This window comes from Homo sapiens, chromosome 12 (genome assembly GCF_000001405.40).
Source record: "Homo sapiens chromosome 12, GRCh38.p14 Primary Assembly".
Classification (NCBI taxonomy): domain Eukaryota; kingdom Metazoa; phylum Chordata; class Mammalia; order Primates; family Hominidae; genus Homo; species Homo sapiens.
In genome coordinates this window covers 10,366,415-10,393,872 of record NC_000012.12, presented here as the reverse complement: position 1 = coordinate 10,393,872, position 27,458 = coordinate 10,366,415, and the positions used below count along the sequence as shown (strand labels likewise).

The 27,458-nt window shown below is 36.1% G+C and overlaps 2 protein-coding genes and 1 long non-coding RNA gene across 3 annotated transcripts in view, besides 1 other annotated feature; 2 read left to right on the top strand and 1 right to left on the bottom strand.

Annotated features, from left to right (window-relative positions):
- The window catches only part of KLRC4-KLRK1 (KLRC4-KLRK1 readthrough), a 37,794-nt gene extending 16,274 nt beyond the window's left edge, over positions 1 to 21,520 (top strand). The window contains exons 5-13 of the mRNA NM_001199805.1: positions 6 to 63; positions 1,982 to 2,038; positions 4,998 to 5,102; positions 6,863 to 6,970; positions 14,081 to 14,173; positions 14,391 to 14,426; positions 15,168 to 15,319; positions 15,638 to 15,741; positions 20,642 to 21,520. Of these exons, the coding sequence (NP_001186734.1) occupies positions 5,063 to 5,102; positions 6,863 to 6,970; positions 14,081 to 14,173; positions 14,391 to 14,426; positions 15,168 to 15,319; positions 15,638 to 15,741; positions 20,642 to 20,759 (651 nt within the window). The 5' untranslated portion in view covers positions 6 to 63; positions 1,982 to 2,038; positions 4,998 to 5,062 and the 3' untranslated portion in view covers positions 20,760 to 21,520. The remainder of the gene's footprint in view (positions 1 to 5; positions 64 to 1,981; positions 2,039 to 4,997; positions 5,103 to 6,862; positions 6,971 to 14,080; positions 14,174 to 14,390; positions 14,427 to 15,167; positions 15,320 to 15,637; positions 15,742 to 20,641) is intronic.
- Positions 1 to 27,458, bottom strand: part of KLRK1-AS1 (KLRK1 antisense RNA 1) — a 34,738-nt gene that overhangs the window by 4,634 nt on the left and 2,646 nt on the right. Inside the window, exons 2-3 of the long non-coding RNA NR_120430.1 lie at positions 19,737 to 19,838; positions 14,037 to 14,171 (exon numbers count right to left, since the gene is read on the bottom strand). This is a non-coding gene — a long non-coding RNA (KLRK1 antisense RNA 1). The remainder of the gene's footprint in view (positions 1 to 14,036; positions 14,172 to 19,736; positions 19,839 to 27,458) is intronic.
- On the top strand, positions 3,832 to 21,520 carry KLRK1 (killer cell lectin like receptor K1). The gene is made up of 8 exons (NM_007360.4): positions 3,832 to 3,930; positions 4,998 to 5,102; positions 6,863 to 6,970; positions 14,081 to 14,173; positions 14,391 to 14,426; positions 15,168 to 15,319; positions 15,638 to 15,741; positions 20,642 to 21,520. Exons 2-8 carry the CDS (start codon positions 5,063 to 5,065, stop codon positions 20,757 to 20,759), a joined length of 651 nt encoding a protein of 216 aa, NP_031386.2. The 5' UTR covers positions 3,832 to 3,930; positions 4,998 to 5,062; the 3' UTR covers positions 20,760 to 21,520.
- Positions 21,476 to 21,676: a silencer, noted in NCBI's record as "peak1570 fragment used in MPRA reporter construct". NCBI's record gives its function as "represses an SCP1 promoter by STARR-seq MPRAs in K562 erythroleukemia cells {active_cell/tissue: K562}" and the evidence as "EXISTENCE:reporter gene assay evidence [ECO:0000049][PMID:32103011]".

Genomic DNA, 27,458 nt, shown 5'->3' with positions numbered 1-27,458 from the left:
TGAAGCTACTGGGGATAAAGGAAGGAGAAATAAGTCAACTAAAATTTGAGCACCTGCTAATAGGTACGTAAGAGGGAAAAAAATGTGACTTGAGACACCTTGCTTCACTCATTTCTACAATTAATGAGCCATTTTCCTTAGGAAGAAAAATGCTGTCTTATCCCTATATCTGTGTCTTTAGGCACTTGTGGTAAGTAATGTCACAAATTTAAGTCATCTTCAAAATTCTAGACTTCTTTGATATTTGAAGCACTGAAGTAAACACAAAATCCATTTGAATCCAAGATGCAGAAGTCGTTAAAGGCATCGTTCCATCTATGAATGTGGAGATTATCACTATAGCAGGAAATGGAAGGTTTAATGGCAATCAAATAAGCAATCAGAGAAAAGTAACCAGGATGCTAATAAAAAATATGATGTCATCTGACCTGCAAATCATGCATGTGACTTACTTGAGAGCAATTGTTTAAAGTTACTATTTATGTATGGCTATTTATGCACAATTATAAAGATAATACCAGAGTGGGAAAAACACTTTTCTGTTCCGTTATACCATATAGATTGCAATTAAACAATCAAAACAATGGTGTGTCCTAGCATGGATTAAGTTAATATAACACAAATATTTGCTAAAGATATTTCAATTGAATTGCTAAATTTTAGAATTATACAAAATTTCAACTGAGATGGGGCAAAAAAATCATTTAATCATTCCTGGCTTAGGAAGCTGTGCCAGAGAAAATTAATTAATTGCCAAGATGATGACCTGTTTTTCCCCAAAGTATAAATTCCAGATTTATGGAATCTCTGCCTTGAGTTCATATAATTACAATACACCAGTTAACATTATATGTCAGTATGTGTAGCCCAGTACTTAATACCTAGCTGAATGGAAAATAGGTTCTGAAAATATATATATACATATTTCTTAAAATATGTTTGCAGACTTTTTTACTTTTACATTAGTCATCATTTCACTTCTGCTTCAATATGCCCATGCGTGTCCAGACGAGACTGGATGCATCATGGTGGTGTGGCCATAGATGCCCCTGCATATCCAAAGACTCAGCTCTATTTCTTCCACTCCTTTTTATTTTCTTTATTGTCCATGTGAATTTTAAAAATTTGTCCTTTTTGACATGTCTTTTGTCAATTCAAACACATTTACCAAAAGGTCAAGATTACAAAATTTTTGCTTGGCAATAGCTGCACATCTTAAGCTTTCATATTTGGGCAAGCGTCCAGTAAACGCCTCTGACCACATCCAGCTTTAGTGTCACAGCTTGAAGCCAGCAACCTGCCAAGCACTCTGTTTCTAACCACAAGTTGGCTGCGTGTTAAGTCTTTCCTGTGTACCAGAAGAGAAGGGTTTTCTGAGGCCACAGTGCGAGTTAGCTTACTGACCAAAAAGGCCGGTTGATTGTTGGCTCTTCTCAACTAATGAAAGTAATTAAATAGTTTATTGTGGTGATGGATGTTCTCAAATGACTTGAGCCCAGGCTGTTTGCAAAATATTGTAATTTTTCTTCTAACAATAGTTTTTGAAAGTTATATAGATACGTCTATATGAAGTTTGTTCAGGTACTTTTATAGTCAAATTATTCTTTCTGCAGAAGTTAATTGCGTTGGTTTTATTTCACTTATTAGAAAGTATTTTATCTGAAAACTATGCTATGTCCTTTTGCAATTCACATAGAATAAACCAGTACAAATGCCCAGCAAATCCCCAATAAGTTTACTATCATGACTACAGCAAAGTGAGTGTATGTTCAACATTGAGAAAGAAATTGGAGTTTTAACATACTATTTCTTTATCTAACTAATTGTTTTAACCCGACATACAGGACCCATTTTAGAATTTTCTTCTTTAAGAATCCTTTCCACACTCTGTCAGTTGGTTTAGGGACCTTTATATATGACAATAAAACTCTCCCTGGTGCTTAGCTTTATCATGGTATTTATTTCAGAAATCTTCTTTTAGGTATGTGTGGGGACTTCCCAGTTGGCTGTAAGTTGCCATTTGAACTAAACGAAATAGGTAGGATATTCAAATGTTCTTTTTTATCCTATTCCTATCCCCCTTTTCTCAATTCTGTATTTAAGAGACAATCTCTATTCAATCGAAAACTACATATATAAAAATAACTCTTCAGGAAATTGTGATTCAGGTTTTTCCCATAAAAAGCCTGCATTTACTCATTTATTCATTTCCTTTCAAAAACCAAATATTTGTTAAAATGTAGTTGTTAGAAAATATCAGCCTATATTTCCTCTATATAGATCTATTTTTACTATATAAAATAGCTAATAGAAAATGTTGATTAGCTGAAAAGAATCTTGGTATGTCAGAAAATAACATATTTTCTTCAACTTGTTTTATATTCACCTATCTTGTTTAATTTTGAATTTGTTTTATACTTATTCATTTTATATCACCTAAACTAAAAAGTAATTTCCAGCTGGGTGTGGTGGCTCACGTCTGTAATCTCAGCACATTGGGAGGCTGAGGCAGGAGGATCACCTGAGGTCAGGAGTTCGAGACCAGCCTGACTAACATGGTGAAACCTCGTCTCTACTAGAAATACAAAAATTAGCCAGGTGTGGTGGCACATGCCTGTAATCCCAGTTATTCTGGAGGCTGAGACAGGAGAATTGCTTGAACCCAGGTGGCGGAGGTTGCAGTGAGCCGAGATCGCCCCGTTGCACTCCAGCCTGGACAACAAGAGTGAAACTCCATCTCTTAAAAAAAAAAAAAAAAAAAGTAATTAATTTCCATGTGGGCAAAAACTTTCTTTTGGATTGTTTACTTTGACATTCTCAAGATCTAGAAAAGTGCATAGCAAATAGCATTCGCTAAAGAAAAAAAATGTTGAATAAATTTATTGTCCAACTTTAACACATCACCACATGAAAGCTGTTTTCCTTCCTTATATTTCAGAGTTTTAAGATTAATAGCTTTGGTTTTTGTTAAAATGTTATAATGTGTTCATCTTATATTACTTTATATGATGTCTTATGTTAGTATTTTAAATTAATAAACATAAAATATATATTTAGCTTATCTTGTTCATTGGTATCAATTCATATATTATTCTTATGTATACTGGGGTATATATTTAAGTTTCTAATTCTCCTGCATATGATGTAGATATGACAGAGATGCAATTTCATGTTTTTTATATTAAAATTTAAAAATTCCCAGGACTAATTTTTTGTAACTTAAAGGCCAGTGTGATAGTAACCCAGGACAAATTATTGAATAGGAGCTAATTTCCCACTTTATCTGCAATGTTACCTTATATTTTTTAATCTATGCACATGACTTTTTCTTGTCTGTATTTTTACCCTTCTCAATTTGTCTATCTATGCCCCACATGCCACTTTGCCTTTATTAATACGGTTTTAACATAGGTCTTACTATCTAGTAAAACAAGGCTCCCACATTTTCTTCATCTTCAATTGTGACTTTCCTAGTCTTGACTTTTGTAATTTAATGTACATGTAGAATTCTGCTTTGTAAGTTCTACAACAAAACCTGAGGTATTAACTGGAATTGAATTGAATCTCTAAAATATTTAGGATTAAATGGCATCATTTAAATTCATCATTTTCAAATCCTAAAATGTTATTTAAAATAATGGCAAAACTACAATTACTTTTGCACCAACCTAACATTTATCCAACAATGGGTGGTCTTAACTCTTTTACCAAATTAACAATATTTTTGTAGTGATAAGGCGGAAGTACTGTGGTTTATGTTTTTCCACAGGAAGATGAGATTATAATATTTGTCACATCTTTCTCAAAGATAGAAATTCACTAAGTATCTCCACTTTCAATTCTAGATCAGGAACTGAGGACATATCTAAATTTTCTAGTTTTATAGAAGGCTTTTATCCACAAGAATCAAGATCTTCCCTCTCTGAGCAGGTGTGTGTATGTGTGTATGTGTGTGTGTTTATTATTCAAGATATGAGAAATTATATTTCAACCTCAAAAAAATAAAAATATTTACACTATAAGGTAATTCTAATTGTTTCTTAGATGCTTGAATAGAACTCCTGAGGATACGGAATGCTTATCATTTCTGATGTATATTCTATCACTGTATCTGATGATAGGTAATTAGGATATACTTATTGAAGAATCAGAAGTTGTAATATTACTATAAGAAGAAGCCTTGTCTCTAAGCAAAACTAGAAAAATGAATCTTTACATTTAGGATGAGAAGAATTGAGATTCAATTTAAATTGTCAAATTTTTGAGTTTTCTGATGCTGTAGGGGGCACTTACCTTTGATACACATCTTTACATGCAAGGTGAAACAAGTTATATCTGTGCTTTCCAACTATCATAATCAAATATGAAATAGCTTTTATTTTTGAAATCTAAGCACTATGCTTATTTATTAAATGGTTTTTTCTGGAAGCTCTGCTGTGCATTGCTAAGATGTTACTATATAAACATGTGAGATTAGTTTTGTTAATGATGATGGTGATGATAATTTGTTGATGATGATGATATGGGCACGTTGGATTAAAATGCACTAGAAAAGGACATTCAACAAAAGTGCATATAACTTACCTGAGTTTAGCTTGCAGAAAGAAAACTAAATTATTGCCAGATAAAATAAACAACTGGAAACACTTGATCTTAGCTAAAAGGCCAAGAAGCAATAAACGACTATAAACAGAAAACTGGGTGTGTTGTTATCTAATATCAGTAAAGTAAAATATTGGTATTAAATATCTCAATGTAGGTGAATTAATAGGTTCATTATATTGTTATGACATTTTGAAGTAATTGGCGATTATTTTACAACCAAGAGAAATGTATAAAATTAATTTTGCCTGGCTTTATGTGAATTGTCATTTCTATTCTTTTCTTAAAGGCATGCACAGGGGAAAAGTTTCTGCATTTTACTTTTCTATTCAAAATATTTTATCTCACCACGGGAAAGAGAACAAAAAACAAATGCCCAGTTTTATTTTATTCAGGAATCCTTTGTGCATTGAAGACTTTAGATTCCTCTCTGCGGTAGACGTGCACTTATAAGTATTTGATGGGGTGGATTCGTGGTCGGAGGTCTCGACACAGCTGGGGTATGTTTTTACCACATAAGTGTGTAGTTTTGTTTTTATACAATTTTAAGATACCAAGAATTTCATACAAGCATATAAGGCATAGGCAAGCAATTTACTCTGATTCTTTTCATGTTCTATTTATGTTGATTTCATGTTATGTTCATATTGTATTTTAAATCAAGTCTTCCAAAACTTAAAAACTTTTTTCCCTTTATTTTATTAACTATATTATGGTAAAGTCGCTCACAACTTGGGACAGCTTGAAATAGTGAAATAGATGTGGAGTCAGACTTGAATTTTACTCAAACTTTTACCGCTCTCTAGATTTGAAGGGTCAATTTGCAACCTCTGTGTAGTTTAGTTTAGTTTCTTTTTCTATCAAATACAGGCATGAAACATTCCATATTTATCTTAGATTTGTGTAATATTCAAATCAACTGACATGTATGTTAAAGCACTTTTTATCCTAAAGGTGTTTATAAATTTATAACTTATTCACAGTTGGTAACATTATATTAAATAAGCTTTATGATTTTGGCCATCTCTAGCATTCAATTTCTTCATCCATAAAGTGATACCTACTCTCTTTACTCCATATGTAAAATAACTGAGTTAGGTATTACATGCGCAATCAATGTCTAATTTTACCTATAAAATATAATTCATATTATCATTTAATTTATAAAAGGCTTTTGTACAACAAACCCCCGTGACATGAATTTACATATGTAACAAACCTTCGCATGCACCCCTGAACCAAAAATAAAAGTTTAAAAAAGGCTTTTAAGTAAATATTAATCATCAGTAAATAATTAATATTTCAAGAGAGCAAAATGATTCTTTAGGTATTTTGTTCAGAGGCAAGATTATCTGTCTTTGTTCTAAATCATTAGACCCCACTATTTTAGCCTATGTATGTCCTTCATTATAAAGAAAATTAGATGGCTGGGCACAGTGGCTCATGCCTATAATCCCAGAAATTTGGGAGGCTGAGGTGGGTAGATCACCTGTGGTCAGGAGTTCGAGACCAGCCTGGCCAATATGGTGAAACCCCGTCTGTACTAAAAATACAAAAATTAGCCAGGTATGGTGGCACAAGCCTGTAATCCCAGCTACTCAAGAGGCTGAGGCAGGAGAACCGCTTGAACCCAGGAGGCGGCGGTTGCAGTGAGCCAATATCACGCCATTGCACTCCATCTCAAAAAAAAAAAAAGAAAAGAAGAAAATTAGACACACTGCTATTTACTAAAAGCTTACTAAATGATTGATGTTATTGATGCTAAGTTCATTATATTTTTATTTTATTTTTAAAATACCCATACTGGATTGTGACAGTATCCTTTTCTTTTTTATTTCTTTCGTCTTTTGCAAATTAGGAAAACTGGGATGCAAAAGCTAGGTTATTTGTGAAGTTATCAAGTTTGTATATGTGGATCTGTGATTTAAATACATGTCTTTCTCCCTACATCTGCCTTTTCACTAACCAAGTCCCTTTCTGGTAATGTTAGGTTTCATTATACATTACGAATTAACTAATTTTAATAGTATATAGGATTTTGCTAAGGGTACTTTCCATGGCATAAATATAGTTTTATTTATATAGTAAAGTGTAAACATAATAATGTAGTACTATAAAACAAAAGTAAGTTCATGTTGTACTTTAAAAAGGATAGTCAGGGGAAGTACATAGATGGAAATGGCAAGCTGAATTTTTAAAATTTATGCCCCAAATGGCAGAAAGGCCATGACTCATATAAGCCTGAATTCTTTTTCTCTAGAGATGAGTGAATTTCATAATTATAACTTGGATCTGAAGAAGAGTGATTTTTCAACACGATGGCAAAAGCAAAGATGTCCAGTAGTCAAAAGCAAATGTAGAGAAAATGGTAAGTCCTATGTTCCATTTGTCTACTCTCAGTATATTGAAATGAATCTTGGAAACTATGTGATTAAATGAATGGCAATCATTCAGTTGACTTTATCTTCATGAGGAAAGCAGGAATAACATGAACTCTCATATAATATTAAAATATATAATAAAATTATGGTATTAAAAGCTATTGAGTTTAGAATATTGTCACGCCCTAAAAAATGATGAGTTTATTATCATGATAATATAATCGAGGCAGGAGTTTCTAAGAGATCACTGAAAAGAAAACTAAATAGAAATGAAAAAGAGAAGAGAAAAGATATTTTAAAAACCCTCCAGAGATATGTTCCTAAACATTATAGAAGTGGTAGCTTGATTATTATTTATAGAATTGTTTCTGAGTTCAGTGAAGAAGATATATTCTCCAATGACTTTTTTCAAAGCAGAATATTATTGGTAATAGACCTTTATATAGTTTGTATGAAAAGGAAAACAACAGATGACCCTCACTTATCAATTTTTATTAAAAACTAAGAAACAAATTATTAACAAATAGCATCTCTTTACAAGAATTAATTTAAGGAATGCAAAGTGCTATATGTAAAAATCCCTTTTTGGACTAAAATATTCAATTGTTACCAAAATTTAAAACACACATGCCCTTTCCCTCAACAATTATCATTGTGGGAATTTATCCCAGAGAGAGACTCAAAAATATGCACAGATGGGTATGAAATGTATCATTATTTCTCATAGCAAGACCTAAGAAACAATTTAAATATCCACTGGAAAAAAAAATTGACAGTCCGTCAAAAATTAGATCTGTCCAGAGTTGTCAGTGAAATACAATGCAGCTATTTATAAATTTGGTATCCTTATACGCCATGAGGACTAATCACCAGGATATTGTCTTAGGTAAAAAAAAAAAAAAAATTCATAGGATATTTTGTGTATTATAGTTTCTTTAAAATGTATTTTTAATATGTAGTTAAGGGGAACGGTAATTTTTGTTTATTTTTAGTTGGCATGTAATAATTATACATATTTATGGGATACAGTGATATTTCCATTCAACTATACAATGTCTAATGACCAAATCAAGGTAATTAGCACACCCATCACCTCAACATTTATCACTTCTTTGTGTTGGGAACATTCAAAACCTTCTCTTCTAGCTATCTGAAAATATACAATAAATTACTCTTAACAGTACTCTCCCTACAGTGCTATAGAACACTAGAAAAATCCCGCATGTAGCTGTAATTTTGTATTCATTAACCAACCTCTCCCAATCTTCTCCTCCCCCCTATTCTTTCTAGCCTTAAATAACCACAATTCTACTCTCTACTTCTGTGAGCTAAAAGTTTGTATCTCCTACATATGAGTGAGAACATGTGGTATTTATCTTTCCATGCCTGATTTACTCTACGTAACATTATGTACTTCTGACTCATCCATGTTGGTGCAAATAATAGGATTTCATTCTTTTCATTCTTTTTTTTATGACTGAATGGTATTCCTCTGTGTGTGTGTGTGTGTGTGTGTGTGTGTCTGTGTGTGCTTAGCTATTTATCTGTTAATGGACACAGGTTAATTCCATATCTTGGCTATTGTGAATAATGCTGCAATAAACATGGGGGTGCAGACGTTACTTCAATATACTGATTTCCTTTCCATTGGAGAAAGACCCAGATTGCTGAGTCATATGGTAGTTATATTTTTAGTTTTTTAAGGGACCTCCATACTGTTTCCATAATGGCTATACTAATTTACATTCCCACCAAAATTGTATAAACATTAGCCTTTCCCTGCATCCTCACTGTCATTTGTTATTTTTTGTCTTTTTAAATAATAGCTATTCTAACTAGGGTGAGATGATATTCATTGTGGTTTTGATTTTCATCTTCTTGATGATGAATGATGTTGAATTTCAAAAAATATATCTGTGGCTATTTGTATATCTTCTCAGAAATATCTATTCAGATCCTTTGCTCATTTTCAAATCAGTTTTTGTTGTTGCTGTTGAGTTGTTTGAATTCCTTGTATATTCTGGATATTGGTCTCTTGTTAGAGGAATAGTTTGCGAGTATTTTCTCTTATTCTACAAGTTGTCTCTTCACTCTGTCAATTGTTTCCTATGCAGTAGAGAAGTGTGTTAGTTTGATACAATCTCATTTGTTTCTTTTTGCTTTTGTTGCCTGTACTTTTGAATTCTTACCCATAAAATCTTTGCCTAGACTAATGTCCTGTGGTGTTTCTCTTATCTCTTCTAGTAGTGTTATAGATTCAGTTCTTATATTTAAGTCATTAATCCATTTTGAGTTGATTTTTGTATATGGTGTGAGATGAGGGTCTAATTTCATTCCTCTATGTGGATATCCAGTTTTTTCAGCTTCATTTATTGAAGAGGCTCTCCTTTCCCAGTGTATGTTATTGGTGACTTTCTGGAAAAATCAGTTGGCTATAATACATGGATTTATTCCTGGGTTGTCTATTCTGTTTTATTGGTCTAGGTGTCTATTTTTATATCAATGCCATACTGTTTTGGTTGTTGTAGTTTTGTCGTATATATTGAAGTCAGGTAACGTGATGCCACCAGTTTTCTTCATTTTTGTTCAAGATTGCTTTGGCTATTCAGTCTTTTGTGGTACCATATAAATTTTAAGATATTTTTCTATTTCTGTAGAGAATGTTACTGGTATCGTGTTAGGAATTGCACTGAATCTGTAGATTGCTTTGAGTCATATGATTACTTTAACAATATTCTTTCTGTCTATGAACATGAGATGTCTTTCCATTTTTTTGCATCCTCTTTGGTTTCATTCATCAGTATTTTACAGTTTTCATTGTAGAGGTCTTTCACTTGTGTGATTAAATTTATTCCAGGGTATTTTATTATTTGTAGGTATTACAAATGGAATTGACTTCTTGATTTCTTTTTCATCCAGTTTGTTATTGGTGTATAGAAACACTACTGATTTTTGTATGCAGATTTTTGATCCTGAAACTTTACTGAATTTGTTTATTTGTTCAAAGGCATGTTGTTTAATTTTCATGTATCTGTGCAGTTTCCAAAGTTCCTCGTTATCAATTTCTAGTTTTATTCCATTGTTGTCAGAAAATTTACTTGATATAATATTGACTTTTGGAAATGTTTTGAGACTTATCACCTAGCATATGGTCTGTCCTGATGAATGTTCCATGTGCTGATAAGAAGAATGTGTATTTTGCAGCAGTTGGATGAAATGTTCTGTACATTTAGTTAGGTTCATTAGGTCTATATTATAGTTTTACTCTGATGTTTCTTTTATGATTTTCTGCCTGAATGATCTGTCCATTGCTTAAAATGTGTTGTTGAACTCCCCTGCCCTTATTGTATTCATCTATTTCTCCCTTCAGATCTATTAATATTTACTTAATATATCTGAGTGCTGTAATATTGGGTGCATATGTATACTTATAAATACTATATTATATTGCTGAAGTGACCCATTTGTCATTATATAATGGTCTTCTTTGACTCTTTTTTACTCTTTTTGACTTAAAGTCTATTTTATCTAAGTATAGCTGTGCCTGCTCTTTACTGGTTTTCATTTTCATGGAATATCTGTTTTCATCCCTATACAGTCAGTCTATGTGTGTTTTTATGAGCAAAGTGGGTTTCTTGTAGGCAATATATTGTTTGGTTTTTTTTGTTTTTAATCCATTCAGTCACTCTATGTCTTTTACTTGGAGAATTTAGCCCCCTTGCATTTAATATTATTATTGGTATGTAAGAACTTACTATTGCCATTTTGTTCCTTGTTTTCTAGTGGTTTTGTAAGTCTTCCTTTCTTCCTGTCTTCCTTTGTGATTAAGTTGCTTTCTCTGGCAGTGTATTTTAATTCCTTGATTTTCATTTTAGTGTATCTATTATAGGTTTTTGTTTTGTGGTTACTGTGAGACTTACAAGGACATCTTATAGCTTATAGCAATTATTTTATACTGATGACAGCTTAACTTTGATCACAAAGCAAAGAAAAACAAAACAACAAAAGAAAAAACTAAACAACTCTACACTTTAACTCCATCTCCTCTCACATGTTGACTTATGTTTGTATGGATTTACATCATTTTATATTGACTATCTCTTAATAAATTGTAATTACTATTATTTTGATAGAGTTGTCTTTTGGTCTTCATAAGATCTGAGTGGTTGAGGCACCACAATTACAGTATTAGAATATTCTGAATTTGTCTGTGTACTTACTTTTATCAGTGAGTTTTATACATTCAAATGTTTTCTTATTGCACATTTGTGTTCTTTTTTTTCTGACTGAAAAAACTCTCTTTAGCATATCATGTAAGACAGGTCTGGTGGTAATAAATTCACTCAACTTCTGTTTGCCTGAGAAATACTTTTTCTCTCCATCATGTCGATAGTTTTGCTGGGTACGGTATCTCAGTTGGCATTTTGTTTTCCTTGGGTCTTTGAATATGTCACCCCACTTCCTCTTGGCCTATAAAGTTTCTGCTAAGAAGTCTGCTAACAGATGTGTTGAAGCTTCTTTATATTTATTTTGCTTTTTAAATTTTGCTTCCTTTAAAATTCTCACTTTGTCTGGAGCTTTGAACATTTAAATTTTATATGTCTTGTGGTGATCTCATTTGGGTTGAATCTGCTTGCTAATCTTTGACCTTCCGGTATTTGGTTATTCATATCTTTCTCTGGGTTTGGAAAGTTTTCTGTTTGTCCACAGCCTCCCAGACCAGTGCTGTGCCAGGGCTTGCCCAAGGGCCATGGTTGCTATGGCCTGCAACCACTGAAATTTTCTTGGGACCAAGGCCACTTTAGTCAGCTGGTGATAAAGTGGGCTGAGACTAAGGTTCTTCCTGCCTAAGCAGTGGATTCACCTCTGGCCCACGGTGGGTCAAAATGCTCCCCATATGAGCACTGGTTTGGAATCAAGGGCCATGGGGTCTCTGTCTTTTGCTGTGTTCCAATGTGGTGGGGCCAGGTCTAAGTTCCGACACAAAGTCCCACACTCTTATTTCCATTTCCCAAGCAGGCAGTTTTTCTCTAAGCACTGCACTATCTGGGTTTGGAAGAGAGGCGTTTAGGCAAGGCAAGACCATCTTTTCTTACCTCTTTAATGTGTTTTTTCTCGTTATCATGCTAAAATCAGGGTACTGTGATAGCGCACCTAATTTCTTGAATTCTTTTGAAGGTATTTTCTTGCATGGATAATTATTTAATTTGATGTTTCTGTGAGAAGATAATCACTAAAGGGTTCTTCACAGCCAGCTTGCTCTTCTGCCATTTTCTTAATTGTTTTCTGATATACCTGTTGTTTTGCCTACCCATTGATTTTTTTCTCCTCTATCATTATTTATCTTTGTGGTTTGGTGGTTCTCTGTAGCCATAATGTTTGATTCCTTTCTCTTTCTTATTTGTGTATCTGCTCTACCAACCAGTTTTATACTTTTGTGTATTTTTATGATGATAGATATTGTCCTTTTGCTTCCAGATATAGGACTCCCTTAAGCATCTCTTGTGGGGCTAGTCTAGTGGTGATGAATTCCCTCAGTTTTTGCTTGTCTGGAAGAGTATTTCTCCTTTATTTCTAAAGGATAGTTTCGCTTAATACAGTATTCTTGTTTGGGAGGAGGTATTTTTTTTTTTTGGCATTTTGAATATATCATCCCATGCTTTTCTGGCCTGCTGCTGGAGAAAGTGGGATTGCTGGCAGTGGTGGCACTGGGCTCCAAGTGAGTGGCTCTGGGAATCTGGGGGGGCGCATGCATGACTCTCTCTATGCTGAGGACAGACTCTGTGCTTGGCTGCATCTCCTGTTCCCTGGGCATAGGGCTCTGTATAGGCTTGATGCAAGGGTCATGACTACACCTTTGGTTGGGATCACCTGGTGTGGCTATGCTACAGTCCTCTAGGTGGATTTGGTGGAATGTCAGCAGGGCCCCAGGGATGTGAAGATGCATAAGCTATTGGGCCCCAAACATGCGAAGATAAAGGAACTATTAGGCCCCAGGGCAGAGCGTACTTTGGTGGTGGCTACACTCTCAAAATGGTGCAGTGCTGCTGCAGCCTGTGTTCCAGAGAAGAGGAGGGACCCCAGTGTGAATTCCCACTCTGGAATAATGCAGTTATGTGGATGTCAGTGAACTCCCTATACTGGACTCAGGGATCGTGAGGAATGTGGAGCTCTCCTATACCTAGGATAGCAGGTATTTATAATGGGAATGTGGACTGCTGGGGAGCTCCTGTTTACCTTTTCTCCTCAGTGGAGAGTCCCTCTTGGCTCCAAGCTGATCCATGTCACCTGCTTCTCTTCCCTTTCTATGCTATCGCCCTGAGCATCTGTGCCTCAGAGAGACTTGGTCACTTTCTTGCTGAATTCCAGCCTTCTCCCTTCAACACTCTATTCAATGTGTGGTTATCTACTTGTTGTTTTGGTCCTTTGTGGAAGTGAGTGCTGGGTGCCTGTAGTTAGCCATCTTGATGATGCTTCCTCCTTCTTTATGTTTATTATTGTATCTGCATAAAAATAATAAATCACGGCCGGGTGCGGTGGCTCACGCCTGTAATCCCAGCACTTTGGGAGGCCGAGGCGGGCGGATCACGAGGTCAGGAGATCGAGACCGTCCTGGCTAACACGGTGAAACCCTATCTCTACTAAAAATACAGAACATTAGCTGGGAGTGGTGGCGGGCACCTGTAGTCCCAGCTACTCGGGAGGGTGAGGCAGGAGAATGGCGTGAACCCAGGAGGTGGAGCTTGCAGTGAGCCGAGATCGCGCCACTGCACTCCAGCCTGGGCGACAGAGCGAGACTCCGTCTCAAAAAAAAAAAAAAAAAAAAAAAACAATAACAACAAAAAATCATAAGCATAATTTACTCTAGGGATGACTGGGGAACTTGTAGAGAAGTATAGAAGGAAATATTACATTGTTGTACTCTAGTTTTTGATCATTTGCGAGGTATTTATGTTCTGTTCTGGAAAAAATTATTAAGGCAGAAAAAGGATCAATACCACCTTCTCATTTAAAAAACTCTAATATTTATATTAAATACAAAGATACCCAAACCTTTTATGCTTCTTTCTCTGATCTGTGTCTTTTTTCTTTGACAGCATCTCCATTTTTTTTCTGCTGCTTCATCGCTGTAGCCATGGGAATCCGTTTCATTATTATGGTAACAATATGGAGTGCTGTATTCCTAAACTGTAAGTGACAACAGAGAAGTAGATTGCAACATTGTCAATTTAACAATGCTAATGTATTATTTTTGTTAGTATTCATAAACACAGACACATAAACTAGAAATATTAAATGTATCTTTGTCACATTTTTGCTATTAGTCCAGAAATTTGTAAACTATATTTGCTTATACTATAAGTTACTAACAATACAAACTTTTAATACTTATGGTTATTTTAATAGCATTATTCAACCAAGAAGTTCAAATTCCCTTGACCGGTAAGTGAATTTTTAAAATATTTTAGATCATATATTATATGTATCTACCTACATTATTGTGTAGACATGTATTCCATGATTAAAAAAGGAAAAAGTAATTAATTCTAGTCTGTAATACACTATGGCTTCTGTTTTCCTTTTAACAATGAGGGAATACTTGTAAAAAGTAGAGGCTACTTAGGTTTGACATCATCTTTCTCTCTCTCTCTCTCTTTTTTTTTTTTTTTTTTTTGAGATGGGGTCTCACTCTGTCACCCAGGCTGGAGTGCAGTGGGGTGATCTCAGCACAATGCAACCTTCGCCTCCCAGTTTCAAGCAATTCTCATGCCTCAGCCTCCCAAGTACCTGGGACTGCAACCTCTACCTCCTAGGTTCAAGCAATTCTCCTGCCTCAGCTTCCAAGTAGCTGGGACTGCAGGCGTGAGCCACCACACCCGGCTAATTTTTGTATTTTTAGTAGAGGCAGGGTTTCACCATGTTGGCCAGGCTGGTATCAAACTTCTAACCTCAAGTGAGTCACCTGCCTTGGCCTCCCAAAGTGCTAGGATTACAGGCATGAGACACCACACCCAGCCTGGCTTCTCTCTATGAATATGTAGAGATATGCCTTTGGTTATGACTGTAATAATTTAATAATCTGAAATTTTAGAGTTGGAGTGAAAAAGGCATTTAATTTGTCTAGACAAAATCTGCTATAATGGTTCAGATGTGTAGAATTAATAATATATTCTCCTTTTCCAGAAAGTTACTGTGGCCCATGTCCTAAAAACTGGATATGTTACAAAAATAACTGCTACCAATTTTTTGATGAGAGTAAAAACTGGTATGAGAGCCAGGCTTCTTGTATGTCTCAAAATGCCAGCCTTCTGAAAGTATACAGCAAAGAGGACCAGGTTGAGTATTTATTTTAATTTCCCATCCTGTATTTAATCCTAACATCTGAGACAACTCACTGGAATATGAACCTAGAACATATAAGGGACACTGTGACTTGGTTATTCTAATACCAACCCTAAATCTTTCTTCATTGAAAATAACAAAGCACAGAAATTGTAGGTATCATGTATGTGTGCTCGGATGAGAATTATGCCAGTTAGTGGACAGAATGCATTTTTTTACAAGTGTGAGAACAGATGAAATGGTTATGGTCTTGCGTTTACTAAAATTATCAACACTGATTTTACTTATAGTTTATTTGTGGTTTCAAACAGGATTTACTTAAACTGGTGAAGTCATATCATTGGATGGGACTAGTACACATTCCAACAAATGGATCTTGGCAGTGGGAAGATGGCTCCATTCTCTCACCCAACCTGTAAGTCTCTGACCCAATGAGTCTCTTCTTTTTAATTTTTTTCCTAAGTTTTCCCTGTAATAATTCTAATCACTCATCTCACATAATCCCAGGACATTTGCACATTCTAATAGATTTAGTAAAAAGTGCTTAGGCCCTAAATTTGGGAGAAAGTTGTATTAGTTGTAGAGCAGCCAACACAAATACTAGTAAGTAATACAAATTGTTTACTATATGGTAAGTACTGTGGAAGGCAGGTCTAATATGTTCGTTTTACAGATAAAGAGACAGAAACAGAGAGGTTAAATATTACATACATTTCTTTTTGAATTTATTACCAGACATGTTGAGATATAATTAACATATAATAAATTGCACATATATAAAGTATACAATTTGATAAGTCTCGAGAACTATATGAGCCCATGAAAACATAAAGAACATCAAGATAGTTAACATATAAATTACCTGGAAAACATTCTCTAAGCATGCACCTTTGTGATTTCTCCTCTGTGTCCCTATGTCCTTACCTCTTTCTCTTTCCAGTCAATCAGTTTTCTGTCACTTTAGATTAGTTTGCAATTCATAGAATTTAATATAAATGAAGTCCTACAATATATATCATTTGCAATGTCTTATTTTCACTTAGAAAAGTTATCTTGAGATTCAGCCATCTCATTGCATGAGTAAAGAGTTAATTTCCTTTTATCTCTTCATTTATTGATGTATATTTAGGTAATTCCCAGTTATTGATCATTACAAATAATGCTACTTGCTAATAATATTTGTGTACAAGTATTTGTATCATATTAACGAAATCTTTCTTTCCCTTAACATAAACACCTAGAAACAAAATGGCTGAATCATATAAGTATATACTTAACTTTTTTTAAAGTGCCACACTGTTATCCAAAGTGGTGATGATATTTTACAAATTTTACTTTCTACCTAGCAGTATGTAAGAGAAAATCTGACAGAGAAGTTGCTTCACATCCTAGTCAACACTTGTTTTGATCAGCCTCTTAAATTTTATACTGGCTGGGTGCAGTGGTTTATGCCTATAATCCCAGCACTTTGGGAGGCCGAGGCAGGCAGATCACTTGAGGTCATGAGTTCAAGACCAACCTGGCCAATGCAGTGAAACCCTGTCTCTACTAAAAATACAAAAATTAGCTGGACGGGGTGGCAGGTGTCTGTAATCCCAGCTACTCGGGAGGCTGAGGCAGGGGAATGGCTTGAACCCGGGAGACGGAGGTTGCAGTGAGCCGAGATTGCGCCGCTGCACTCCAGCCTGAGTGACAGAGCAAGACCCTGTCTCATAAATAAATAAATAAATAAATAAGTAAATTTCAGACACACTAAATGATGTGTTTTGGTATATGAATGTAGTTTTAACTTGCATTTTACTAATGCAATGATGTTAAGTAGCATTTTTTTGTGTGTGCTTATTTGCCATTTAGGTAAAAATTTTCTTCTCACTGATTTCTGCTTTGATCTTTATTATTTACTGTCTTCTTATAGTAGGTTAAATTTGCTTTTTTAGTTTCTTATATTGAAAGCTGATATGTTGATTTGAAACCTTTTTTTCTAATAAAAGTTATACTATTAATATGTGAGATGATTTGGCAACATCCCGTCATATTTTGAGATACTACTTTTTGTTTCCATTCAGTTAAAAATAGTTTCTAAATTGTCTTTTGCATTCTTTGATTCATTGATTATTTACATGTGTCATTTAGTTTTCAACATTTGTGAATTTTTCAGACATTTTTATTATTGATTTCTAATTTAATTTCATTTTCATTAGCGAATTATTTTGTATAATTTAAAACTTAAATTTATTGACATCAGTGTTATGGACTAGACTATAGTGTGTTTTTAAAAATGTTTTAGGTGTATTTGATCAGAAATGTTTATTCTGCTGTTTTCTATGTATTCTATGTGATAACCTTTGAAATACAAAGTTTTGTAATATGGCTGGTAGAAACAGGCAAAATACTAGACCCTATGTTAGCACTAAGTATTGTTTACCCTAAATCTTTTCAGACAGTTCTTTCTCCATCCTGGAGTAGTTTTTTACATACATGCATTAGTAAGTACTCTGCTGAATATTCAAAGGTGACCTTCTGCATATCTTTACATTTCTTTATTTCTTCAAATCTCTTATCTCCATTTCTGTGTCCGGTGAACTACAGCTTGGTCTTTCTGGATTCTGAAGTGTCCCATGTCTGTAGTTTTTATAGCCTGCTCTTTTACCCACTTGATTGCACAGAGCAATTCAGCACACCCAGACTAAGTGACAACATCTTAATGTTCACTGATCTTATGAATATAGTTGTAATTCTCCAGATTAATGCTAGAGTATTCAAGAAAGGTCATTTCTACCATTTGAAAGATCTGACCTGTCACTACACTGTTCAGTAATTTCTTCATTCAGCTACAACGATCAGGAATGAAACCTAAGCATTTTGTCACTACTGCTTTTCCTTTTTTCAGTCTCATAATATCACAAATATTGCAGAAGTCCTCTAGATTGTAAATATTATAATTCTTTATTTCAAGGGGACTTTAGATATTTGAATTTCCAATTCTTCAATGTAATAAAAAGTCACAACAATATCAATGTTAAAATTAGGTTAATTAGGTGCTTCCTGTCTGTCAGACACAGATTTAAGCACTTAAATGTATCCTTTCATTAAATATACTTAACAATCCTGTATACAGGTGTTATTTTAACCTAATTCTAATGGTATACAACAGAATCTTAACATGTTAAATAACTCACTTAAGTTACAAAATGAATAATTGTTGCAATGAGGACTCAAATATATATATTTCTGGCTCTGGAGCCAGACTTACTATTAAATGACTAAAAAAGTGCTCTTTTCGCTGATTTTTAAATTTACTTTGCTACTTTAATGATTAATTGGCAATGATCAATGCACAACCTTTTACTCTCATGTGTTATTTTCAATTTTCCCCTTGTGTTTATTGTAGCAAGAACTCCCTACCTTCCTTCCTTATTATCTATTTGTAATTTGGAAGCCCCAGTATACCTTAGAATTGATCCAGGATGGCCTCATTTATGTATGGCTTGAGAGTTTTTTTAACAGAAAAAACATTGATTCTCTAAAAAATAAGAGTTTATATCATAGTTTCTCAATATTTTCCTATCTACAAGGACAAAATTTTTTTTCAGAAGCAAAACAACTAGCATACTAACTTTCTGTTTATGCATGTAGTAAATATTGGTTGATTACTGCACAATTTCCAGGAATTATGCAGAGATAACTACAGAGATGAGTAGAATAAAACTCATTTTAGAGCTTCAAACTCTAGTCAGAGATGTAGTTACAAACAAATAATCCAGTGTAGTTAGTTAGGTACTCTGGCAGAAGTGTAATGAAAGTAGTATGAAAAAACAGAGAAAGAAATCGAAGGAACACATGGACAAAGTGATATTAAAAAGAATGAGGCCGGGTGCAGTGGCTCACGCCTGTGATCCCAGCACTTTGGGAGGACCTGAGGTCAGGAGTTCAAGTCCAGCTTGGCCAACATGGTGAAAGCTCATCTTTACTAAAAATACAAAAATTAGCCAGATGTGGTGGCAAGTGCCTGTAACCCCAGCTACTCCTGAGGCTGAGGGGCAGCAGAATTGCTTGAACCCAGGAGGTGGAGGTTGCAGTGAGCCGAGATTGCGCCACTGCACTCCAGCCTGGCTGACAAGAGCAAAACACTGTCAAAAAAAAAAAAAAGAGAGAGAGGAAAGAAAGAAAAAAAGAACGAGACTCTAATGTAGACTGAACCTAGTAAGAGCAGTTATTAAAAAATCTCAGCTGGGGCCGGGTGCAGTGGCTCACACCTGTAATCCCAGCACTTTGGGAGGCCGAGGTGGGTGTATTGCTTTAGGTCAGGAGTTTATAACCAGCCTGGCAACGTAGTGAAACACCATCTCTACTAAAAATAAAAAAATTAGCCGGATGTGGTGGCACATGCCTGTAATCCCAGCTACTTACGAAACTGACACAGGAGAATCACTTGAACTTGGGAGGCAGAGTTTGCAGTGAGCCGAGATTGAACCAGTGCACTCCAGCCTTGGCAGCGGAGCAAGATTCTGTCTAAAAACAAACAAACAACAAAACAAAAACTCTTTAAGAATAGTTTTCTCCCTACAGTGGCCGATTGTTCAGTTACAGAACAGAGATCATTACATCGTCTTTTTAAATAGGGATAGCATCAGACCATAATCTTTTTATTTTTTTGTCAATTTTACATTGAAGTGACATCCTCACTCTTTCTTGAGCTTTCTATTTCCCATCTCTTATGAAAGAAAACAAAGTATCATTATTAATCATATAACTCCAAAAGATTAAAGATGCCAGAGTAAAACACATATATAGATATAGAAATCTCCACATGGAATGCCTAAACATATGCACACACACACACACACACACTTATACACACTTGTGAATGTGTGTATGTATGTATTAGATTTGAAATTTTATTTTCATTTCCTTACCAAGTAAAATTGCATATATCTGAAGAAAATGTTTTATTTTTCCACAAAACACAGTATCAAATTCTAAATTGAACACTGAATTTATTTCTCACTTAAATATTTGTTTTAAAATAAACATTCTAAAGTTTTCATTTAACTTGGGTATACATATGAAGAGATTTTAGACTTCAGAATTGGCTAGTTTCTGATGTATGATAAAAAGAGTGGCGCATTATTTATAATTTTTATTTTTATTATCTGAGTTGGCTATATTTTGTTTATGAATTAGGACCAGGCATGGTCCATAATCTCCTAAAATGGTATTAAGTTCCTGTATTTGAAGTTCAATAGGTATGATTCATTTTTATTTTCCCGCGTTAATAAAATCATGTATGTAATTTGTAATTGTCTCTCCTCTAGACTAACAATAATTGAAATGCAGAAGGGAGACTGTGCACTCTATGCCTCGAGCTTTAAAGGCTATATAGAAAACTGTTCAACTCCAAATACGTACATCTGCATGCAAAGGACTGTGTAAAGATGATCAACCATCTCAATAAAAGCCAGGAACAGAGAAGAGATTACACCAGCGGTAACACTGCCAACTGAGACTAAAGGAAACAAACAAAAACAGGACAAAATGACCAAAGACTGTCAGATTTCTTAGACTCCACAGGACCAAACCATAGAACAATTTCACTGCAAACATGCATGATTCTCCAAGACAAAAGAAGAGAGATCCTAAAGGCAATTCAGATATCCCCAAGGCTGCCTCTCCCACCACAAGCCCAGAGTGGATGGGCTGGGGGAGGGGTGCTGTTTTAATTTCTAAAGGTAGGACCAACACCCAGGGGATCAGTGAAGGAAGAGAAGGCCAGCAGATCACTGAGAGTGCAACCCCACCCTCCACAGGAAATTGCCTCATGGGCAGGGCCACAGCAGAGAGACACAGCATGGGCAGTGCCTTCCCTGCCTGTGGGGGTCATGCTGCCACTTTTAATGGGTCCTCCACCCAACGGGGTCAGGGAGGTGGTGCTGCCCCAGTGGGCCATGATTATCTTAAAGGCATTATTCTCCAGCCTTAAGTAAGATCTTAGGACGTTTCCTTTGCTATGATTTGTACTTGCTTGAGTCCCATGACTGTTTCTCTTCCTCTCTTTCTTCCTTTTGGAATAGTAATATCCATCCTATGTTTGTCCCACTATTGTATTTTGGAAGCACATAACTTGTTTGGTTTCACAGGTTCACAGTTAAGAAGGAATTTTGCCTCTGAATAAATAGAATCTTGAGTCTCATGCATATCTTGTTTGATGATATTTAGATAAGATTTTGGACTTTAGACTTTACAATTGATTCCGTAAAAAGCTAAGACTTGGGGTTATTAGAATGGAATTGTTTGAAATGCTTGTTCCCCGGTGTCATAAAGAAATAGGACTTGAACATAAATTTAATTTATTTAGTAAGGCCATTTTTTACTTCCTGCAGAAAGGGTACACTCACTAGCAGTTCTGCCATGAGAGTACACCGAACAAAGGAGACAGGGTCATTTATAACCTGACATGTCCACACTACTGCTGTGTCCGGTTTCCACTGGCTGGAACGGGACCTCACATTCTGTATTTGTCCCGATTGGCTAGCAACTTAGAACTTTTTAAAAGAGGCAAAGGTAGAGGAGAACAAAGGAAGGAGGAAGTAACTTGTGGAATGCTGAGAAAGATAAAAACACTTTTAAATAAGGAAGAGGAACAGGCTATGACCTAACGCTTGCTTGGACCAGTATAAGCATGCCAGGGCAAATATTTAGGAGCACAGGTCTTTGAATAAATTTTGCTTCTAAGAGAAGTTACTGTTTATTTCTAATTAGATGGGGAGGAAAGTCTTTGAAGAGGAACCTCTACTTTACTTTTTACAATATTCCCCCTTTTTTTATTTCATAATTCCTCCTCAGTCTTGTTTAATATGTTTTGACTTAATTCTTTGTCCTTCTAAGAGAGGTAATTTTTTTTCAATAGGGTGGAGGATAGTTAGGAGTTAACTCTGTAAGAGCAGCAGAGACAAGTTTTTGCATAAAACCTTGAAGGCAGGGCATAATATAACAGTCTACAAGAATAAGTACACCAATAGTAAGGGCAAACGAGGTGAGAATTGAATTGAAGTTAAATTTTTTTTTAATTTATGGTTACCTACCAGACCAACATGGATTTAAATTTTGCAGCTATTTGATTTTTGTGCTTTAAACTTATTTGGCACTTCTCACGGACCTTAATAACATTTACGTAAACCTGAGGATTAAAGGACTCAAGGAGTTTCCTTTGGCCTGCGGTGTTTTGTTTTTACCTTTTTAGATTGACGAAATGCCAGCGTGAAGCGGATAGCCAATTGGATTAGAGCACAAGTACTGCTCCAGTTATTTGGCCGAGTGTCCAGTAAAGGTCTTCCACAGTACCACTATACATTTGCTTGGGGATGGCTAAGCATGGACTGATGGGCAAGTTCTTGGAAAGGCTTGGGCTTCTTGTATCCTTTTATGCTTTCAAGGAACGCCAAATTTTCCTCCTGCCATGAGAGGCACAAAGTAAACTTGGCATTTAGAGGTGGAAGCTGGATTGCCCTCGGAGGCTGACCCGCAGGGTGTTGAATTTCAGGAAATAGCAGAGAGCGCTCAGTATGATGGATTATCCCAAGCAGTGGGATTTTGAAAAAGAACCACCATACACTCCATATCTGGATGACAAGGAGACCATCCAAGTGGAAAGGAGATAATCTGGGCCTCTGGCCTACCGTGTGTACAAGCGTAATAATCGCTTTTATTTAAAGTGTGAATGGATTATTTAATCCATTTCAGCCAGGAATTTGCATCTTGATATTTTGTCTTGATGGCTAAGGTCTGTCTTAGATATCTTATTTTTACAATAGACACCCTAGTTTTATTAGATGTAGGAGCAACTGGTGTGGGATCTAGAACTGAGGCTACTGAAGAAGGGGGAGATGGGGGAAAAATCCATATTTTAAAAATACCTAGGGGGTCTTTTCCATTTATGTCAATCCCCATACCACAGAAGCGACTAAGGGCAGGTCTAGAGTTAGTTAAGGTGGAGGTGGTGATAAAGAGAAGGACAGGGTTACACTGATAAGGCTGACAGTGAGAAGGGGTAGTCCTTTTAGTGAAATAGATGAGGGGTTTTAGATTTGCACAAACCTTTTTCGTGGAAGTCCAGCTTTGCTCCTGGGTAGTTTAAGGGATGTGGTCCCATTTACTACAAGGTTGCCAGCCTGTAGGAGCAGAAAATCAGCATCTTGGCTGCAGGTCATTACAACAATGACTGCTAGGGGTACCTGTGTCAGTTAGAGGGCTGGGACATAAATATTTGTGTGAAAAGGCTAGCTGTTGTTGATATTTTACATTTCCACAAGGTATGACAGAGCAAGAGTTAAAGGCAATGGTCTGAGGTGAGTCAGACTTAGTTACATTAATAACAACGGAGCTAGTAACAAAATACGGAAAGGAAAGGAAGCGATATAGAAGGTATATGAAAATTAAGCTTTCTTTAACTTTAACTTAGTAGGGCTTAATCCTAGTACAGTAACCCATGATTCTGAGAGGAAGATGTTTTCTTGACTCGAGTATGGTGGGACCATTTTTTTCTTGGCTGTGCGGACGGCAGTCTCAGTGGTTAATAGCATAAAATAGGGTTCTTCCCAGGCTGGCTTGAGTTTTTTTTTCTTTCTATCTTTTGATAAGGATGTGGTTTTCAGGCTGGTGCTGGTGTACTGGAAATTCTAGGGGTGCTACCTGTGCTAAAAGACTTTTAGCTCCAAGGGAAGGGAAAGTGGAAGATAGATTAAGTATATAATTTCTGCTGCATATCCTGGGGCTTGAGGCCTCATGGTTATGCCCCTTGCTCTATTCCTGCTCAGCGCTGCCCAGGAGACACTGTGGCCCTGCCCCCTCTTAATGTTTGGCCTTCTTATGGCCTTCACCACCCTGCACTCTGTGGCCTTGGGGATGAGGGTCCTTGTGACTTACCGGGTTGCCTTTAGGCCTTAAGAAAGCCAAACACCATTTTATATTTGACAATGTTTTTGTATGATTTTATACCAGATAAGTTAAATTTTACCATTATATTAATGTGCTATTGATGTTCAACTTAATTTTAATAAAATCTTGTAGACATTATTTATCCAATTTTAATGTCTAACTATAAGGTAAGACTTTTATAGATTCTTTAACTTTTTATAATTTTTGTTAAAGAGCAGGTTAGTGCTTTAAGAAAAATCTATAGTGATTTTATTGTAATATCCAGTTCACAGAAAAACTGGATGATACCCCTTTAACTTTAGCCAATATGTTAACACACAGAATTTCCTTTACAATTAACATTTTAAAACTTGCTTAAATCTTTAAAACAGAAAAAAAGTTTAGCCTTTAATGTAGGTAAAAATCTGTATTCTTATGCCTCTTTATAATCCTGTTATTAAAAGTATTTTTTTACATACCTTGTACATAAACTTTTTTTAATAATTTTACATTCAGGAGGCCTGTTTTTCAGTTATACAATATTTTTTGCATAAATTCCCTTTTATAGCTTTTCTTATGACTTTCACAGACAATCTTCAGCATGTCTTAACTTTCTGCCTTCCTTTTTCACTATTTTTCTAGTTTCACTCTCTGTATCTTCCTTTGATTTCTGTCTCTTCCAGTTTCTCTCTTACTTACTCTTTCCCTCTATTTCTCTCTCTCTCTCATTTGCGCTCTATTTTCCTCTCTCTCTCTCTCTCTCTCTCTCATCCTGTTTCCCTTTCTTTTCCCAAGTTCTCCTGCTCCTGCTGCGAGCCCTGCTGGGCCATGGCACGGGCCCCACCCCCACGCACACGCAGCTGTCTGTTTCTCCTGTGTTTTTTATTTTTCCTGATTTCCCTTTTTATATTTTTTCCTTTCTTTTTACACTTAGTTTCTCTGGCTGGGTGGGTGGGATTTGCCCGGCTGTAGTCTGGGCCCCAGGCAGTCACCGGCCCAGAGGATTGGCAGATGCCTGCCGCAAATTGCAAGAATTATGCCCTTTCACCTCCTCTGCTCTCCTCCCGGCACCAGTCCCCAAGCTCTTTGGGGAGAGGGACTTACCCCTTGGCGTGCCTGCCTGGCTGTTTGGCTCTATGCTTGCTGTTTTTGCTTTCTTTCCCTCTGACTTCCTCTCCTAGTTTTTTTCTTTTCTGCTGGTCTTTCTTTTTTCTCCACCTGTAGCAGGATTGATAAGGAATCAGGAACACCAAGGGGTTGAGGAGGATTTTTATTATTTAGGTGCACTGGCCCAGTTGGATTAACATCCAAATGACTGAGCCCTGAACAAAGAGTCAAGTTATCTTTTAAGTATTTTGTCTGTGGGGGAAGATTTGTGCAGGGGGAAGCATATTACAGAAGCAAGAAACAAAGACAGTTATTCAATTGAGACATACATTACATTGTTTCTTACTTTTCAAGGAAAAGCATGTTTTATGACTTGAGTTTGTCTGTCTAGTGACCTTGCAGCTGCACAGCTAGAGAAACAGGGTCTTCACAATGCCTGGGAAAGGGAGAGATAAGGCTCACTAGCCACGGAAAAACAGGCAGTTAATTTTTAAAGGACTCCAGTTCTTTCTCTTCCTCAGGGGGAATTGGGTTTTCTTACATACAACTGAGTTTTTGCTTACACATTCTTTAATTTCTTTTAATTCCTGTTCCATTCCCCCCTTTGGTGCTTTTTATAACAAATGTGTTAACAGAAAGCACCACTATTTGCCACGTCTTCGTGGAGCTGAGCTGCTGCTTCTACCAGCAGCGACTGATATCTGGTTAATGCCATCATCTGCATGGTAGTGTATCAGGCCACTATTGCCTCCATAGTTGACTGAATACTTCTAATAAACAGGGGTAAAAGGCAAGGGAGGATGAGGCAGATGCCAAGAATAACCAAGAACCCACCAATGAGGCTTTTGAATCCTCTAAAGGCTGAGAACCATCCTCCAAACAAGGAATCCGGGGACCACCCAGACCAAGTCTGAACTGGAATATGGGCCAATGTGTGCATTCTAGCGGTGATTTCCATGACAGCTCAACCATTATCATCGATTTCTAGGCAACAGTTGGTTAAATTAAATTTTCCACATACTCCTCCTCCTGAGGCTAAGAGGTAATCTAAAGCCAATCTATTTTGATATATAGCATTCCTCATTTCTGTTGTTGTATTTTTTTCCATGTGAGTTCCTTGGTGGAACTCTTTTAAAAATCTGGGGGCCACCATTTCAGGTATGGCTAGCCTCCCATTGGATAATATTTACCATCTCCTTTTAATGTAGTTTTTATTTTTCTGGGCAAAATAAGCCCTTTCATTTGGAGTGTAGCTTGGGATATCCAGGAGAGGAATCTCTGGGAGGAGAGGCATAGCTAAGGCTTCCTCTTTAAAAGGTGGAGTTGTCATTGCAGCCTGCTTTGCCTCTTTGTCTGTTTTCTTATTTTATTTTATTTTTTTAGCCTTTAGTATTCTTCCTTTTTGGTGCCCCTTGCAGTACATCACTGCCACCTTTTGGGGCCTATACAGCATTTAAGAGCTCTAGAATTTCTTCCTTATACTTTATTTCTTTACTTTCAGCAGTTAAAATTATTTTTTCTTTGTAAATAGTCTCATGAACATGCAAAGTGGCAGAAACATATCTGGAATATGTGTAAATATTTGTCTTTTGGTCTTTGGCTAGCCAGAGAGCTCTTGTCAGAGCTATTAGTTCTGCTTTCTAAGCAGAAGTTTTTGTAGGCAAAGACTGCACCTCTACTACTGAATCCAAAGTCACCACTGCATACCCAGCTTGGCGGACTCCGTTTAGTATGAAACTGCTTCCATTAGTAAAATATTCAATGTCCAGGTCCCTGAGGGATGTATCTGTCAAATCTCTCTGGCTTAAGAACACTTCATCTATCACATTTACACAGCAACGAAGGGGGTCTCCTGGCACTGACTCGATGAGGAGCAAGGTAGCCGGGTTTAGGGTATTCACCATCTCTAAAGTCAGTTTATTAGCTTCTTGTGCCAGTAGGGCAGTAGCAGCTAGTGCTTTAAAACAAGGAGGCCATCCAAGTGCCACAGAATCTAACTGCCTGGATAAGTGTGTCACTGGGCAATGCCATGACCTTATGGCTTGAGTTAGAATCTTTATGGCCTCCCTTTCACTTGTGGACATTCAAGAAGATAAGCTTAGTTAGTTAGAT

Bases quoted from the DNA above. Each gene is read 5' to 3' on its own strand.
- KLRK1 (NM_007360.4), top strand. From the start codon at position 5,063: ATGGGGTGGATTCGTGGTCGGAGGTCTCGACACAGCTGGG. The intron at 5,103-6,862 runs GTATGTTTTTAC...CTTTTTCTCTAG, and splicing joins GAGGTCTCGACACAGCTGGG to AGATGAGTGAATTTCATAAT. The intron at 15,742-20,641 runs GTAAGTCTCTGA...TCTCTCCTCTAG, and splicing joins TCCATTCTCTCACCCAACCT to ACTAACAATAATTGAAATGC.